Raw genomic sequence first — 17,486 nt, 5'->3', positions numbered from 1 at the left:
TATCTTTTAAATGGGGAATTTAATCAGTCTACATTCAAGGTTATTATTGATAAGTGAGAACTTACTCCTGTCATTTTGTTGATTGTTTTCTGATTGTTTTATATATCCTTTCTTCCTTACTTTCTCTCTTATTGTTTGTTTTTGTGGTTGGGTGGTTTTCTGTATCAATAAGACTTGATTCTTTCTTCTTTCTCCTTTGTGTATTAGTTCTGCTGGTGAGTTTTATAGTTTCACATGCTTTCATAATGGTGGTAGTTGTCTTTTCACTTCCAGATGTAAGATTCCCTTCAGCATTTCTTGCAAGGCTGGTCTAGTGGAGATTAATTTCCTGTTTTTGCTTGTCTGTGAAAGATTTTATTTCTCCTTCATTTCTGAAAGGTATATTTGCTGGGTATAATATTTTGGTTGAGAGTGTTTTTCTTTCAGTATTTTGAACATATATATCATTCCATTCTCTTCTAGTCTGTAAGGTGTCTGCTGAGAAATTCAGTGTTAATCTAATGGGGGTTCCTGTATGTATGAATTAATGCTTCTCTTTTGCTGCTTTTAGAATTCTTTCTTTGTCTTTGACTTTTGAAAATTTGATTATAATGTGCCTTGGGGAGGATCTGTGTAGGTTGAATGGATTTGAGATTCTTTGAGCTTTCTGAATCTGAATGTCCATCTCTTTCCCATGACTTGGGAAGTTTTCAGCTACCATTTTCATTTTATATGTTTTCTACACCATTTCCATTTTCTTTTCCTTCTGGGATGCCCAAATGTGAATACTTGTTCACTTAACCATGTCCCATAAATCTTGTAGGTTTTCTTCATTCTTCATGCTTTTTCTTTTTGTCTGCCTGTGTTATTTCTAATGACCTGTCTTTAAGTTTCAAAAATTCTTTCTTCTGCTTGACCTATTCTTGAAACTGTCAATTGTATTTTTTTATTTCATTCATTGAGTTCTTCAGCTATAGATTTTCTGTTTGGTTCTTTTTAATGATATCTATCTTTTCATTGAACGTTTTCCTTCAAATCATGCATGAATTGTTTTCCTGATTTCATTAAATTTTCTGTGTTCTCTTGTATCTTATTGAATTTCCTTAAGATTATTATTTTGAATTCTTTTTGTGGCAGTTTGTATATTTCCTTATGATCAGGGTCTGTTACCAAAAACTTCTGTGTTCCTTTGGAAGTGTCATGTTTCCTTGCTTTTTCATGTTAGATGTGTCCCTATGTTGATTTCTATGCATCTGGTGAAAGAGCTGCTTCTTCCAATATTATGGAGTAGGTTTCATCAGGAAAGACTCATTTATGTAAATGGGTCTTAAAGTGTCACTTCATTGGGGTGTATTGGCTTTGGTTCTATGTGGATGCAGTAGTATATTCTCCATGTAATTTCTTTAGCTGTAATCCACACTAGTGATGTTTGTGAGTGTCTCAGTGGCCTAGGCTGAGAGACTTTGTGGCAGAGGTGGTGTGGCTTTTCCATGGGTGGGCTTGCCAGCCTATTTCTCAGGTCAGGGGTGCATGTGTTCATATAGTGGGTCCACCAACTTGGGGCTGGGGTTGGAGCTACAGGGAAGTTACTCTGATTGGGAGTGTATGCATGTAGTTATCTGGCTGGCCTGTGGGCATGCCTTCCAGGGATGGCCCATGTGGCTGCTTCTCAGGCCTGAGATGTGGGCACCACACTGCTTGGCTTACCTGGGAACCTGCCTGCCAGGAGTAGCCTGCAGAAATGTTTCTCAGGCCCAGGATGTGGATGCACAGCTGCTTGACCAGCCTGGGGCTGTGTCTGCCAGGGGCTGCCCTCAGAGCTGTTTCTCAGGCCCTGATTGCAGGTATAGAGTCATTGGTCATGACAGAGGCTTGTTGGCAGGGGGTGGGGGCCCTGCAGGGCTATTAATCAAGCCCTGGGTATGAATATATAGCTGCTGTGCTGGCCTGGAGAGTGTCAGCTGCTTGGAGGCTTGAGGGCCTTTCCTGCTCTGGAGAAGGTGTACAACAGTTTGACCAGCTCAAGGGTGGGTTTGCCTTGGGTGGTACTGCCAGACTATTTCTCTAGCTGGAAGTGTGGATGGCAAGGTTTGGTTCCCTGCTGTGCAGGACCGGGCCCAGCCTCTGCACTGCTGGGGTTGTGGTGTTCAGCCCCCAGTTTGGGCTTGGTAGAAAGAAGATGGAGGCCCAATGCTGGAGAGATGCAGTGGCTACTAGGCCCCAGAGCATGGCACACCCCCGAGGTGGCTCTGGTCTCAAAATGGTGCTATGCTGCAGCAGCTTGGCCCACAGGGCCTGGGTGGGAGGGGGATAGTGCACAACCATGTGCTTCTAATCTGGGGCAATGCAGCTGCACAAATTCCTAGCAGCTCTCCTAACTGGGTTCAGGGCTTGCGGGGACTGTGGGATTCTGCTACAGTAAGGAGGGTAGGCATTTGTGGTGGTGGTGGGGGCAGGTGGGATTCTTCGGCTTACATTTGCTTGTTTGATGTGTTCCTACCTCCCTCCTGACTCCAGGAAAATCTGATCCAGGCAGGGGAGATGGTGCTGCAGAGGCCAAGTACCTTCATGCTGCACTCTGGCTTTCAGTCACCACACCTGTGTCCTTTACTCCTCCACTGCACTCCAGTGCTATCCCTTCAACACTCCAGTCAAATCTTAGCTGTTTATTTGTTGCCTTGGTCCTCTTTTGTGGGGGAGGATGAGTGCCAGGGACCCCTGGTTAGGAACTTGTTGACCTTGTCCATCAAATTTTATTTTTTCGACAGGGATATTTGGTAGTTCTGGAGACTGCACTAAACATAGTGTATCCTTACTTCAAGATTGCATTTGGCTGTTTCTCTTGAACTTTTAAAAAATAAAATGGAGAAAGGCAAATAGGACGATAGCACGAAGGTATGTATTCATAACCAGTCAAGGAACTAATTGAATGTCAAAGCATGCTAATTAATGGATAGTTGATAACCCTGATATACAATTCTATGGTCCTACCACACAGATTGTGTCCTTGTCCTGGTCAAAAACCAACAAAACTTTATTTAGTGCACACTGTGTGTCAGGCACTGCACTGAGTGCTGGGATAACACTGGCTTATACATGTCAGGTGCTGTACTAAACATTTTATGATCTTATTTAATTATGCAATAACCTTATCACAGTTATCATCTCCATTTTATATATGAGGAAAAGGGAGTCAGAGAACTGAATTAGCTTGGCCAAGGTTGGTCACACAGCTAGTAAATGGCAGTGCCCAGATACAAACTTTGGTTTTTAACTCCTCTTCACTGCCTAGGTTTTTCATTAATGATTAGAGCAAGAAAATGCATCAGTAGGCAGATGAAATGAATGTGGAAGAGCTACTGATGTGGGAACGTGCTTAACGACAGAATTAGTATCCCAAAGAATTTTAATGGGCTGGAGCAAATTTAATCAGAGAACATTTAACAGGGGATGCATGTGAAATCCTGAGCTTGGTTCCAAATATCCAGCTGCACAGGGCAATGTGGCTTAGCAGCTGCATAAGCTCAATGTGATTCAATAATGTGACATAGCTGCCCTAAAAGTGAATGAAAACGGGTGCCATATTTGTACAAATCTAGTATTGCAAACAAGGGGATAGATTATTCCGTTTTATTCTGGTCAGGCCATATGTGGAATTTGTGAGGAGTTCTCGGCAGCACACCTTTGTGGGGACATAGACAGGCTTAAACAGACTCAGGAAAGGACTCAGTACCACTTTTCTTTCATTTTTTTCGACATGTATTTTTTTTTGAGGGCTTATGTGCAGGTGTGCGTTAGGCACTGAGGAAATGGCAGTTTACGAAACAGCGTCTTTGTTGCTTACATTATTCTCACTGGAGAGGCAAAAAAATAAACATGTGAACAAATAAATACTATGTCAGCGATGACTGGTGATGGAGAATTAAGCAGTGTAAAGGGGTAGAGAATGAGTCGGGAGCTATTGCAGATAAGTTGCTCAGGAAAGCCATTTCTGAAGAGTTGCTATGTGATCAGAAACCTTCAATAGCTAAGGGAGGGCATCGTAAATAAAAGATAAATGGAAGAAGAAAATTTTATGCAGAGGAAAAAGAAAGTACAAAACCCTGAGGTGGGAGTTTGCTTCATATGTTCTGGAGGGAACCCAAGGAAGCCATTGTGATATGTTGGTAGACAATGATGCAGGAGGAGAAGTAAATAAAGCATTTCAAGAAGTACAGAATGACCAACATGAATAAGATGAGAACAGAAAACTGGTCATTGGATATGGCAATGTGGAACTCTTTGGTGACCTGCAGTTCCTCAGAATTAATCAAAAGAAATATAGCCTTGGGAAGAAAAGCCTTAGAGTGTTGTTTCTCAAGGTGTTATTGTGGACTACCTGAAGAACTCCTACAATCAAACCTCTAGGTTATGGGGCCCGGGAATCTTCATTTTTAGCAGTATGTGTTTCTTATTCACCGTTAAGTTTGAAAACTACTAATATAGGGAGGGCTAGCTGACATGAAGTATTTACAAAGTTGTTTTACATCTCCACTAAGGGACTGATGAATTGAAGCTAAAAGAAGACAAATTCATTTTACTTTAGGAGAATGAACAACACTTCAATGCTGAACATTTGAAAGTAGAATGAGTTGTATCTTACAGAAAAGAATTCTCTTCCATTGAAACAGAGACTGGATAATCACATTTTGGGGGGTTGTTTGGAGGGAATTTTACTGTCATATGGCATGGCAAGAGTGTTGCAGTAAGTAACCTTCTAACCCCCTGGTTCTGTTTTTCTGAAATGCAGACTGCAAACTCTCACCGCTGCTCTAAGTAGCCTGAGGAACAGGAGCTCAAACTAACCTTTCCTGTGTCTGATTTGTCTCTTAAAATGTTGAAAAAAGGCATTTCTATTTTGCCGAGTCTCAGAGTTGGTTAGGGTTGTCAAGTGACCATGAAATGACATTTGTTAATTGAAGGACATGTAGATAATTAAAATTTTACTGAATAATGGCAAAAGAAAAGAAATCTTAGTAATTAAGAGAAAGTGTTATATCAATGTTAGCATGTTTCTGTTACAACATATCGGGAATATCCTGAAAGTCAATTCCCTCGCTGTTATTGGATATTATTATTATTATTAAATGAGGGCAAAAGCACAAAGTCAGAACAGATATCTTGGATCTGTTAGCAAATGAGATGTTCCAAATTTTGCGTCACAGAATTAGCATGGTGGGTTCTTTTTGCTGGCCCATAACATTTCCTGCATGTAACAGAGGCTGGGCTGTGGACCTCCTCATTTGTTGAAGCATATGCAGTATTGTTGGACTCACCACACAGCTGTGGGGGGAAAACGTTGCTCACCCTAAGGTTATAACCCCCCTTCTCTAAATTACTGTTTACTGATGTGGGAGAAAAGGACTCCTGGCATAGCCCAATAATTACTCTTGGCACAGCTCAATAATTAATGAAGTGTTAAAAAGACTCTGCTAAAGTTTGTGCATCTGCTATGGAGGGTGCGAAAGTACAAGAAACTCGCCTTTGCAGCCAAGTCAAAAACACACATGGCCTTCCCTGTCCTCCCAGGGGAGAACCCAGTGGGGAGTGAGAAAGAGTGAATGAGTTAGTGCAGGAGAGAAAGGGGACTCTTACTACCAAGCTGTTTCCAAGTTTCTAAGAATAGAGAAGCCCAAGGTGGCAGAGTTGTAATTTCTCAGTTTCTTTTTTTCCTTTTTGTGATTTATAGGTAGGTCCTTTAATTTGTGGAAAGAAATTTGTATGCAGAAACAACTGCTTTTCTCTTTCTATTGGTTATAATACAGTACTTGTTAAATCAGCAGTTTAAAATAATTTGATGATGATAATGCAAGGACAAATAATTACTGCCACTAGTGTGGTATTTATCTCCTGAAATTTTATGGAGGTTGCAGGCTGGCATCTTGCCTAGTGAATAAGATATCAAGAGCGCTTTTTTGCTGCAAAATTAACAAAGGAAGGAATAAATATTATGTTTTCTCTCAAAGGATCCAGTTTGGAAAAAGACCAAGGATTAACTCTTTGTGCCACAGTCTGATTTCACAGTGCGTCACCTCTCGCACTTGTCCTCATCAATCACTGACATAGGACCAGGCCTCAGACAGGCCTCCAGGCTTTCCCAGGAATCCCTGCTGCTTGGCTGGAAAGTCCCATCCAGGCCAAGGGTTTCTGAAACACAGCTCAGGTACAAGCTAACTCTAGCTTCAGGCCAATTTCTTAAGCAGAGGGTCTTTGCTAATGTGTAGAATAGAAACGAATGTTGGGAGAATGGGTTGGTTCTGTTCTGTTCACCCGCTTGCTCTGCTATTCCCTCCCGCATCCCATTATTTAAGGTCTAGTTCAGAGTAAAAGGAAGGAAGACATTTGACAAGTTCTGTGTTATTACTCTACTCTGGTTTGGTTGGCAATAAATTGAATATTGTTTCTTGTTTTTCTCCCCCCCCTCCAGTGTTGTATATTTAACATTTCCTGATGGTCACAATTTCTCTACATGGCAGCTAAGGGGGAGTATAGGGCAAGGAGTAAACCTTGAGGAATTAAGGTGCAGGCTGCCCTATTTTTTTCCTCCTCTTTAATATGAAACTGGTTACAGGCACATTTTTTTAAACCTCTCAGCAGGAATTGCAAAGTTTTCCCAGTCATCACCTAGCAACAAAACCCAGCAAAACATTCGCAAAGCAGTTTTTGCAATGCAGCCATCACTGACTGGCAGAACTGACTTGTGGAAGGCTGAATTTGCTATGGAGGGGAATTGAATGCTTTCTTCTTTATTCAAGTAGAATGCTGAGATGTGCAGTCTGGATCCTGCTTGAACCAAATTAATGTACATTAAAGAATAAAACATAATGCCCATTGTAAATTGGAGGTTGAAAGGATTCAACAGAATGTGATGATGGGCCAGTTCTCATTGCAACTATTTAAACTGAACTTTTAAAGTAGTTGTCTTAAATAAAGCAATCTAAGATTGATATAACTATCCCTTTCTTTTTCCACATTAGATAAAATAGTCTCAACCTTTGGGTAGTGTAAGAAACTTTAAGTCTATTGGGTAATAAGTTCAGAATTCAACTGAAGATTATACTTAGCCTCTTCCCTGAAAATAATATTGATAAAAATCTCCCTTCAGAAAGAGAGTAAATCTGCTTTGTCTGGCTTTGACTTCTACTCAGAGTTAGCAGCCAGGCATAATAGCTATTATCATTAAGAAAATATGCTACTCTGGAACTTGGAGTTATAATATCCACCTCCAGGTCCTCGCTATGGTCTTTTTCCTTAGAGGTATAAGAATCTTACAACAAGATCCTTTTGTTTTGTCATGTACTTTAGAACAAAAAGACTAGATCTAAAAACATCTTATAAGATTTTAATTTTCTTGTTTCTGAAGTAAATAGCCATATGTGAACACAAATATATCAAATTAATAATCTAGCCACCAGGATCTTGATTTTTAGTACTTAAAGTCTACCAAGTTCATATCTCTGTATTAATAACAGAGGAGGTCCTTTAGCTCAGTACGTCATGAAGACAGCAAAACAATTTGTTGAAGGTGACTGACTCCTCACTCTTCAATAACAACCCTGTAAAGTTTACTCCACGTATGTACAATAGGTGCATGAGAATGTAGAGTATGTTCTTAGATCAGGCTTCAACTCTTGCTTACCAAGGAACTAGTGAGGCTTGGTAACTTGTGGTGGGGAAAATTGTTGTGATACCGTTTAAATTATGGTTCCTGTGTCCATAGGCTTGTTGTTGTCCGGGATGCCAGCTTTTTGCTTTATATGCCACATTTCTAATGATGAAATTGCTCTGAACGTTTGCCCATGTCTTGCCCAAAATGTAGCTTTTAAGTACTGAGTCCTTTTCAGTTGATTTATGTACAAGCCTTTGCTTCCTCCCATTATGCATGTGAAATGTTGACTGCGGCTTTATTTGTTAATGAGAGTGACTGTGGGGTTCTTTCTTCCATTTCTCTTCAGTCTGAACTCTCTTTGACAACATTTTCTCTGACATGATCAGCATCTTCTGCAGCTGTGGGAGCAATGTTCACAATCTTTGCTGCTCAAAGTGTGGGCTGCAGACCAGCAGCATTGACATCACCTGGGTGCTTGTTAGAAATACAGACTCAGGCTCCACCGAAGAACCACTGAATTAGAATCTTTATTGTAATGAGTTACTCAGATGATTCATATGCACAGTGAAGTTTGAGAAGCATTGTAAGTCTTTTTGGTTTAATGATTTGCTTCCTGTTGGGAGTGCTAGCTGAAAATGAATCTTCTTACTGACATTTTCTCTAAAACACCATTAAACACTCCCCACTCTCAATGGTACTGAGGTGAACTTAGAGGCTGAGCCATAGAAGTGAAATAAAAGAGACTTGAGCAAAGAGGTAGAGACTGCCCAAGCACTAACTGGTGTTTGCAGAGGATAACCCAGTAGTTCCAGGGGATCCAGTAGGTGATCAGATGACTTTCTTACGCTGTGCATCTTGTTAGCACCCATCTTAAGGAAAATTCTGCATTTTGTCTTACACTTGTTTTTTTTTTAATATATATATGGCAGGACAGCTCTTTTGTTATATAATAAAGTTACTGAAGTGGGTAAAGTACTCATATTTATCCCCTTCAACTGACTAGCCCAGGACTTTTTATCATAACCAAAGCTCAATAAGCGATGGTTGCATTGAATTGGTATCCACTGCCTGTAGATGCAGTATGTTTAAAAGGGTCGCAACATTGCTCTTTCAAGGGAAAATACAGTGCTCAATAATTATATAACACAAAACACAGGGAGGAAAGTGCCTTGCTGACTCTAGGGATTTGGGTTACATCACAAAATGTACAGTCTGATCAAAATTAATCTTGCCTTGAGGGAAGTTGCCAAATAGAAAAGGTCTTCAAGGCAATAACAAAAGATATCATAATTTGAGGGCATCCTTCTGATTTTGGGCATCCAAAGGTTACATGTTTACCCAAAATTATTACAATGAAGGAGAAAACCTTGAGTGAAGGAGATATTATTTTCACGGTTTTCATGACTCTGTTAACTTTCCATTAAGGTGTAAGAAAAACCAGAGTTGCGACCTGGAGCATGAGGTGAAAGAGTTTGCTACACACGAAGAAGTTGACATTTGGGAAATAATTTTATTTGTGCTGGACACTGAAAAATATATTGCTCTTTTTTGCATATGAGTTACCAAAAATATTTAGATTGTTCGGTAGAATTGTTGATTGTAGAAATTATCTAAAATCTAATCCAATTCAGATTTTGTAATTCCTGGTTTACCAATGAATTCCACTAATCTTAGTGCTGACTTTTTGGGAGTATGAGATAGCCTATTTATATTTATATGAAATTTTACAAAGTTTGTGAAGGGTCATATGACTAAGGTCTCAGTCATACCACCTTCACATCCAGGTATATGTGATATGCTGGCAATTTGAACTGGTGGAACAAAAAATGGAAATGAAAATTCTGTCATGTGCAATCTTAGAAACCCAAACTGGGGAAAGGAAGCAGCGTAAACAGGCAATTTGGTTTTACCTCAGGGTAAAACATGAAGGCAGGATGACATTTAAAAGTTTATACTAATTACTGCATACATCATCCTAAAGAAAGAAAAAAGAGAGTCAGATAGGAATTTTCATCCTTGTTTAATTGAGGTACACATTTCTTTTAAGGGAAGCATTGTAGTTACAAAAAAGTATAGTTAATTAAGAGTAAGAGCTGTGCTAGTTTCAGCAGCACAAAATTTCATTTATGGCTAAAGGCAAATTTGTCATTTAATTAGTAATTCTGACACAGGTAAAGGAGAAGACAGCTGCTTTTCTGGGGTTTTTATGCCTCACTGGTCCCCGGTAACCAGATGGCATTGTTGTTGCTGATGGATGAACCAAAGAAGTGGGAGGGTATCCACCCCCACCCTTACTCCTTGAAACTCCAAACTTAGATTAGAAATCTCATAAGGAGAAAGCTTTCTCCTGTGTTTATCCAGGCCAGGTGGGGATGGGGAGCAATTTTGGACCTGAACAAGTATCTTTGCCTTCTACTCTGCTCACAAACTTTTCTGAGGAGACACTACAGTTGGTCTGTAAATGAGTAGCTGCACATATCAACCACCTTTTGTTTAGAAAACTCCTAGTTACAGAATTGCTCAACAATGTTGCACATTTTTAAAACTAAAAGAAATCCCATTTCTAGAATTTTAGGGTTTTATATTTGCTTTTCCATCCATTATTTTAATAAACACAATAACTTTCTAAAGTAAGGTAGAGCTAGAATTATTATTTCTGTCAGATTAAGAAATGAGGATCAAAAAGGTGAGTTTAGTTTATCAAAGTCTGCAAACCTAATTATAAATGTAGCACCAAACCTAGTCTTTACTTTCCCATAGTTAGTGCTCTCTTTAACTAATGCAAACATAAATGGTCAACAAATAGATAAAATAATTATCAATATCACTAGTAATCAGAGGTATACAAATTAAAATACCAAGATTTTCTTTATCAATTTGATAAAAATTAAGACAATTTAATTGTTGGAAAATATGTATAGAAATACCCTATTGGTGTTTGTGTAAATAGATACAGTTAAATTTTTTTCACACTCTTAAACATTGTAATTCCACTTCTAATAATTCTTCCTACAGAAGAATTCACATTTGTACATAAAGATCTATGTACAGTGATGTTCATTGTTTATAGTAATGAAAAACTGGAAACAATCATAAAGTCCATTCATTTGGGAATCATTAAATGAATATGGTTTGTATATATTATGAAATACAATAAAATTCTTTTAGAAAGAATAAGACAGATAGACGTGTACTGATACAAAAAATTTCCCAGACATATTAAGAAGTAAATAAAGCAAATTGCACAGCAATGCATATGGTTTCATTTATTTTTTAAAAAAGATTAATGTGTGTATATACATATATAAAATACATATGCACAGAAAAAAAGCTTTGTGAAAGCACAGACTCAATGAAAATAGTGGTTACCTATGGTGAAAAGAGTGGTATTGTGGGATGGGCAGATAAAGAGAAAATTTTACATTTTACATATTTCTATATTATTTGACTCTTACAGTAATTTATTTCCGCATTATTACAAAATTTAAAATGTTTAAACAGAAAAGTTTCCCAGGGCGGCTTTCATTTCTTGCATCCTAGCTAGCTCCCTCTCCCAGCACTGTCTGATTACTAGAGCCATCCCTGTGTCTCAGCTGGAGCTCAGCAAGATGTCTCCATCTCAGCATCTTCATATAGCGGAAATTCTTGACATTCACATGTTGAGCTCATCTAGATTTTCTACTGTTGCACTATGATAGCTCTTCTTCAATCCAGATACGAAATACCATGCTGATTTTTTTTCTTTACCTTTGCCAGTTTAGTGGTTTCAAAATACTTTTGGAAACAAAAATTATATTTGGAAGCCCAATGCATGAGAAAGTAGAGCTCCTTTGGTTGAAGTTGAGGATGAGTAGGGCCTTCCTCTTAACTTCATCACCCCTTCCTACTGAACTCCAAAAAATTGCTCCCAAAAAACTCCTAGGCCTCCGTAGAGCAGTTTGAAAATCATTAACACTTTGTCATTTTATAAAGAAACAGGATTTCAGCAAAGTTAAGTGATTCAGCCAAGATTACACAAATATTAAATGTAGAGCCAGCCTTTGAAATCCAGGTAATCTGAGCCTTATTTTATCAGTCTTCCCCAAATGGTGGTTCATCTTTTACACTAATCCAATTAGCTTTGGCTTTCAGACTTTTTCAAAAACAGAGAGCAAATAGCATCTCTACAAATGTTTCATTATTCTTTTTGCTTCTTACCAATACCATATTTCATCTTTGCTTTTCCTCTGATCATTTTCTTCTTATTCTGATCTTATATGGACAACTCTTTGCAGAGATGTTGAAATATGAGGATGATAAAAGTTTCTCATAGTGTTAAACAAGTGAAGGTTGAAAGATTTTAAGGAGTTACTGTTAGTCATGTGCTAGTGAGCCATGCTAGTCACAGTGGAGACATTGCTTGGTATTTGTTCATTATTAGCAGGCTTAACACACATACATACAAACACACATACACCACTAATACTGGCAGGGTGACTGCCAGTATTAGTGACTCTGTTTCCATTAGGACTTACTCATTAAGACCAAAGAAATCTTATGTTCTTATGTACTAGTTTTGGTAACTTTTTTTTTTTTTTTTGAGACGGAGTCTCACACTGTCGCCCAGGCTGTAGGGCAGTGATGCGATCTCAGCTCACTGCAAGCTCTGCCTCCCGAGTTCACACCATTCTCCTGCCTCAGCCTCCCAAGTAGCTGGGACCACAGGCGCCTGCCACCACGCCGGGCTAATTTTTTTTTATATTTTTAGTAGAGGTGGGGTTTCGTGTTAGCCAGGATGGTCTCAATCTCCTGACCTCGTGATCCGCCCGCCTCAGCCTCCCAAAGTGCTGGGATTACAGGCTTGAGCCACTGCGCCTGGCCAACTTTTTATCTTTTATGAATGTTAGAATAGATTTTTTTTTCTGTACACTTCTCAAACACTTAGTATGATAAACTTTTAAATTGCTTTATCCCAAAGGTCTCCACTGGGTGAAGACTAAAAGCAAACTTTGGTTTCCTTATACTATTTTACTTTGGGAGATAAACTGGGAAAAGTTATTATCATTGTAGCTTGTGCCATTTTGTAATATTTTGGTGGTGCTTATGCCATTCCACATCAAGCCACAATGATGTAGTGTTAAATACTGAGAGCTGACGTATAGAAAACCTGTCAGTCAGCAGTCCTCCTCACTTCCCTAGCGTTGGTGAGCAGGACAAATAAGCCTCTAACTAGATTAACTTATTAGGCCATTTTCATTCAGGGTTGCTAATTTTCACCCACATTGGAACAATGGGTGATTCACAGGTTTATAGTAATGCCTGTAACTTATTTTCTAGTTGATAAGCAAATTATTTAGTATAGCAAATCATCCTTAAACATCATAAAAATCAATTTGTTACCAATTGGAATAATGAACATTCCAAGAGCAGGATTGTTCTGTATCAAGTGAAATAAAAACATAGTCATTGACTTCATTACACAGTCATTGACTAATCTATAATTGAGTAACTGGTACTGGACTCACCTTCTTCTATAAAACAGGAAACTGAACAAAATATATGAAATAATTGTTCTCAGATATTAGACAATAGGGCAACATGGGTCTATGATCTCTGAGAGGAGGAAGCAAATGACATTTGCTTGATGACTGCATTGGATTTCTTAAATTTTGCAGCACAGAAATGGGAAACTCGGGAGGAGGAGCAGAGCCATCTCACTGATTTGAAGACAGAAATCAAAGTTTCAGGGGTTTGAAGCAGCTGGAATTTTCAGAGGAGAGTATTAGAGAGATAAGAGCTGTGCAGAGAAAGAGCTCCAGAGATCTGTACATGGGTTCCTTTGAGTCTGGCTGAATAAGCTGCATACTCACAGAAGGAGAATCCATGAGGATGGACAAAGAAAAATTACTAGGGAAAGAACAACTGCAAGGGAGCTCAACCAGGGGCTAGGAAATGTTTAAGTGGAAACAGACAGAGCAAAGAGATTTCTTCACACACCCAGTTTATTAATAATGACTTCAAGAAGGTTACTCCTTAGCTCTAGGGCCCAAATAGCTCTATAACAAAGGTTACTCTAGATCTGTCCTAGAAAAGCCTAAATGTAATCCTTAAAAGGATCAGGCTTATCTGCAAGTGGCTGAACTGACTGACAAAACAAAATTCAACACTCTTTAAAGGAAGAAAACAATATCCAGACACTGAACAAAATCCAGACACTTGAGATGACAAAGAAAAAGTTTGTGTAGTCATTTAAAATTACTGTACAGGTAAGGAGAGCATCAGGAAGAATAGCTAATGGATGCTGGGCTTAATACCTGGGTGAGGAAATGATCTGTGCAGCAAACCATCATAGCGCATGTTTACCTGTGTAGCAAACCTGCACATCCTGCACATGTACCCCTGAACTTAAAATAAGAGTTGAATGAAAAAAAAAAGAAAAAATTACTCCACAGGCAAAGAAACAGTAGATGTGATCCATAACCAGGAAAAAAATAATCAGATAACAGAAATAGACCCAGAAGTGACAGAGGTGATGAAATTAGCAGACAAAGGTATCAAAAATGCTATTATAAGTATGCACAAAGATTTAAATCAAAATACGAAAATACAAAAATAGTGAAAAGTGAAATGGAATGTTGTTTGGGCTGAATCATGTCCCTTGAGTATTTGTATGCTGAAGTCCTAACCTCCTGTACCTCAGGATGTAACTGTATTCGGAGACAGAGTCTTCAAAGAGGTAGTTAAGGTTAAATGAGGTATTTGGGGTGGGCTCGAATGCAATATAACTGGTGTCCTCATAAGAAGAGGCAATTAGAACCCAGGTACATAGAGTGAAGACCCTCTGAAGACACAGGGAGAAGGCGGCCATCTACAAGCCAAGGAGAGGGGCCTCAGAAGAAATCAACCATGCTGACGTCTTGATCTTGAACTTGTAGCCTCCAGAAATGTGAGGAAATAAATTGCTGTTGTTTAGCCGCCCAGTCTGCGGTATTTGTTATGGCAGCCCTACCAAATTAATATAAAAATATTTTTGAAAAATTTAATCAACTCATGGGTTAAAAAATATAAAATTTGAAATGAAAAATTTACTGGATGAGCGTAACAGCTTATTAGACACTGCAGAAGAAATATCAGTGAACTTGAAGTGTGGGGCAGTAGTAGCTCTCCAGATTGAGGCACAGAGAGGGAAATAGCTGGCAAACAAAGGTGTAGAACTTCAATGACCTATGGGAAAATATCAAGCCACTTAACCCATGTGGATGGAAAAAAGTATGGAGAAAAGATGCAGAAAATACTTGAAGAAAACTTGTTAAAAACTCACAAATTAAAAACTATAAATCTATATTTGAAAGAGATCAATACATTCCAAGCATGATAAACACAAATGAAATCACACACAGAGACAACATAATAAAATTTCCAGAAACCAATGATAAAGAGAAAAATCTGGAAAGAAGCCAGAGAAAATATGCTCATGATATACAGGGGGACAAAGATAAGAATGACAAATGTTTTCTCATTAGAAATAATGCAAGCAAAAAGAAAAGGGAAAACACATTTACAATGTATACAAAAGAGAAAGATCAACTGTATTAGTTAGCTTAGGCTTCCATAACAAAATACCATAGATTGCGTGATTTAAATAACAGAGATTCATGTTGTCATAGTTCTGGAGGCTAGAAGTCTCCAATCAAGATGCCAGCTGCTTAGATTTTTGGTGAGGTCTTTGTCCTTGGCTTGTAGATGGCTGCCTTCTAATAAGGTCCTCACATGGCCTTTCCTCAGTGCATATGCATGGTGGGAGAGAGAGAGGCAGAGAAAGAGAGAGGGAGAGAATGAGGTAGAATGAGAGAAAATGAGAGAGACAGAGAAAGAGAGAGAGAGGGAATGAAGTAGAGAGAGTGAGAGAAAATGAGAGAGACAGAGAGAGAGAGAGGAAAAAAGACAGAGAATACTCTGGTGTCTCTTCTTATTAGGGCACTAATCCTATTAGAACAGGGCCCCCACCCTATGATCTCATTTAATCCTGATTACTTCCTTAAAGGACACATCTGCCAGTGTAGCCACACTAGGGGTTAGTGCTTCAACATAGGTAATTTGTGTGTGGGGCGGAGTGGAGGAAGGGTGCTGACATAAACATTCAATCCATAACATCAACCTAGAATTCTATATAAAGCAAATCTATCTTTTAAAAAGGAGGTAAAATAAAGACATATTTCAAAAATCAAAGGTGAGAGTATTGATACCAGCATTACCAACTATTACATGAGCAGTGTGAAAATATTAAAGGAAAAATTTTAATGAAAATATCTTTTATATTACCCACATATTTTCTATTCCTGGTAGAAAATTTCATTCTACCAGGAATGAATTTCTATTTTCTGTTCTGAAATTTCTGTTCTGCCAGGAATAGAAAATATGTGGGTAATATGAAAGACATTTTCAATTTTAAAATCTCTTTAAAAGATAAGGTAATGTCTAAAGCAAAAATAATAGCAATATATTAAGGAGATTGATTATAACATATGTGGAAGTGTATGACAATACCACAAAAAAAGACAAGGCAGTGGTAAGTGGAAGATTACTGTTGTAATGATCTTATATTATATATGAAATGGTATAATATACTTGCATGCAGACTGTGAAAAGTTAAACATGCATATTTTGACTTTTTTCAAAAGAGAAAACATTAAGAATTAAAACCATTACAGCTAATAAGCCAGTAGAGGGACAAAATGAAATCACAAAGACCCTAATTAATCCTCCAGAAATCATAACAGCACAAAATAATAACAAAGACAAATGGGACCAAAGCAAAACAAATAGCAATACAGCAGACTTAGGACCAGCCATATCAATAAGTGGACTGCACACTTTGATTAAAAGAATAAATAGGGAGATTTTATAATGATTAAAGGGTCAATTCATCAAGAATACATAGAAAGCTTAAACATGTATACGCTTAATGACAGATCTTTAGCATATCTGATCAAAGAACTCTTGGAAGTAAAGGGAGAAAGAGACAATTCCAAAATTATATTTGAACGGTTTAGACTCCCTCTCAGTAATTGCTAGCACAGATAAAAATCAGAAATCATATATATGACTTGAACAATACTACTAATCAACTGATTTGTATTTTAAGAACATTTTACCAAGTAATAGCAGAATATATATTATTTTCAAATTCAAATGAAACATTAACCAAAATAGGTCACATTCTGGGCCAAAAAACAAACTTTAACAAATTTTAAAGGGTTGAAATCACGTAAAATATGTTATCTGCTCATAGCAGAATTAAAATAAAAGTGAATAACAAAAACATATCTGGAAGGTCATGAAATATTTAGAACTTAAACAACACATTTTCCCACAATTCCTGGGTCAGAAAAGTCACAAAAGAAATGATATTATACAACATTTCAAAATCGGTAGGGTATAGGTAAAGCAGTGTTTTGAGAGAAATTTATATCAGTGAATACTTACAGTAGAAAAACGGAAGCTATAGAAGCTTCTAAGCTTTTGCTCTAACAACTAGAAAAAGAAGAGCAAATCAAACTAGAAAAAGAAGACCTTAGTGAGTGGAAAAAGAAAGCAATAAAGAAAGTTAAATCTCTAAATGCTACTGATATGTGGTAAAAAAAAAAAAAGGTAGTAAAACTAGTGGAACAGATAACAAACAATAGAGAATATCAATGAAACCAAATGCTGGTACTCTGAAAACATTTTAAAAAATGTATAAACTCTAACTGCAAAGTTCAAGATTAAAAGAGAGAAGACACATATTACCAGTTATCAAAAATGAAAGTGGAGACACACTGTAGATACTATAGACATTAAAATTATAATAAGAAATCAGAATGTCAATAAATTCAACAAC

Source organism: Homo sapiens, chromosome 3 (genome assembly GCF_000001405.40).
Source record: "Homo sapiens chromosome 3, GRCh38.p14 Primary Assembly".
NCBI lineage: Eukaryota > Metazoa > Chordata > Mammalia > Primates > Hominidae > Homo > Homo sapiens.
This window is presented reverse-complemented; position numbering follows the sequence as displayed.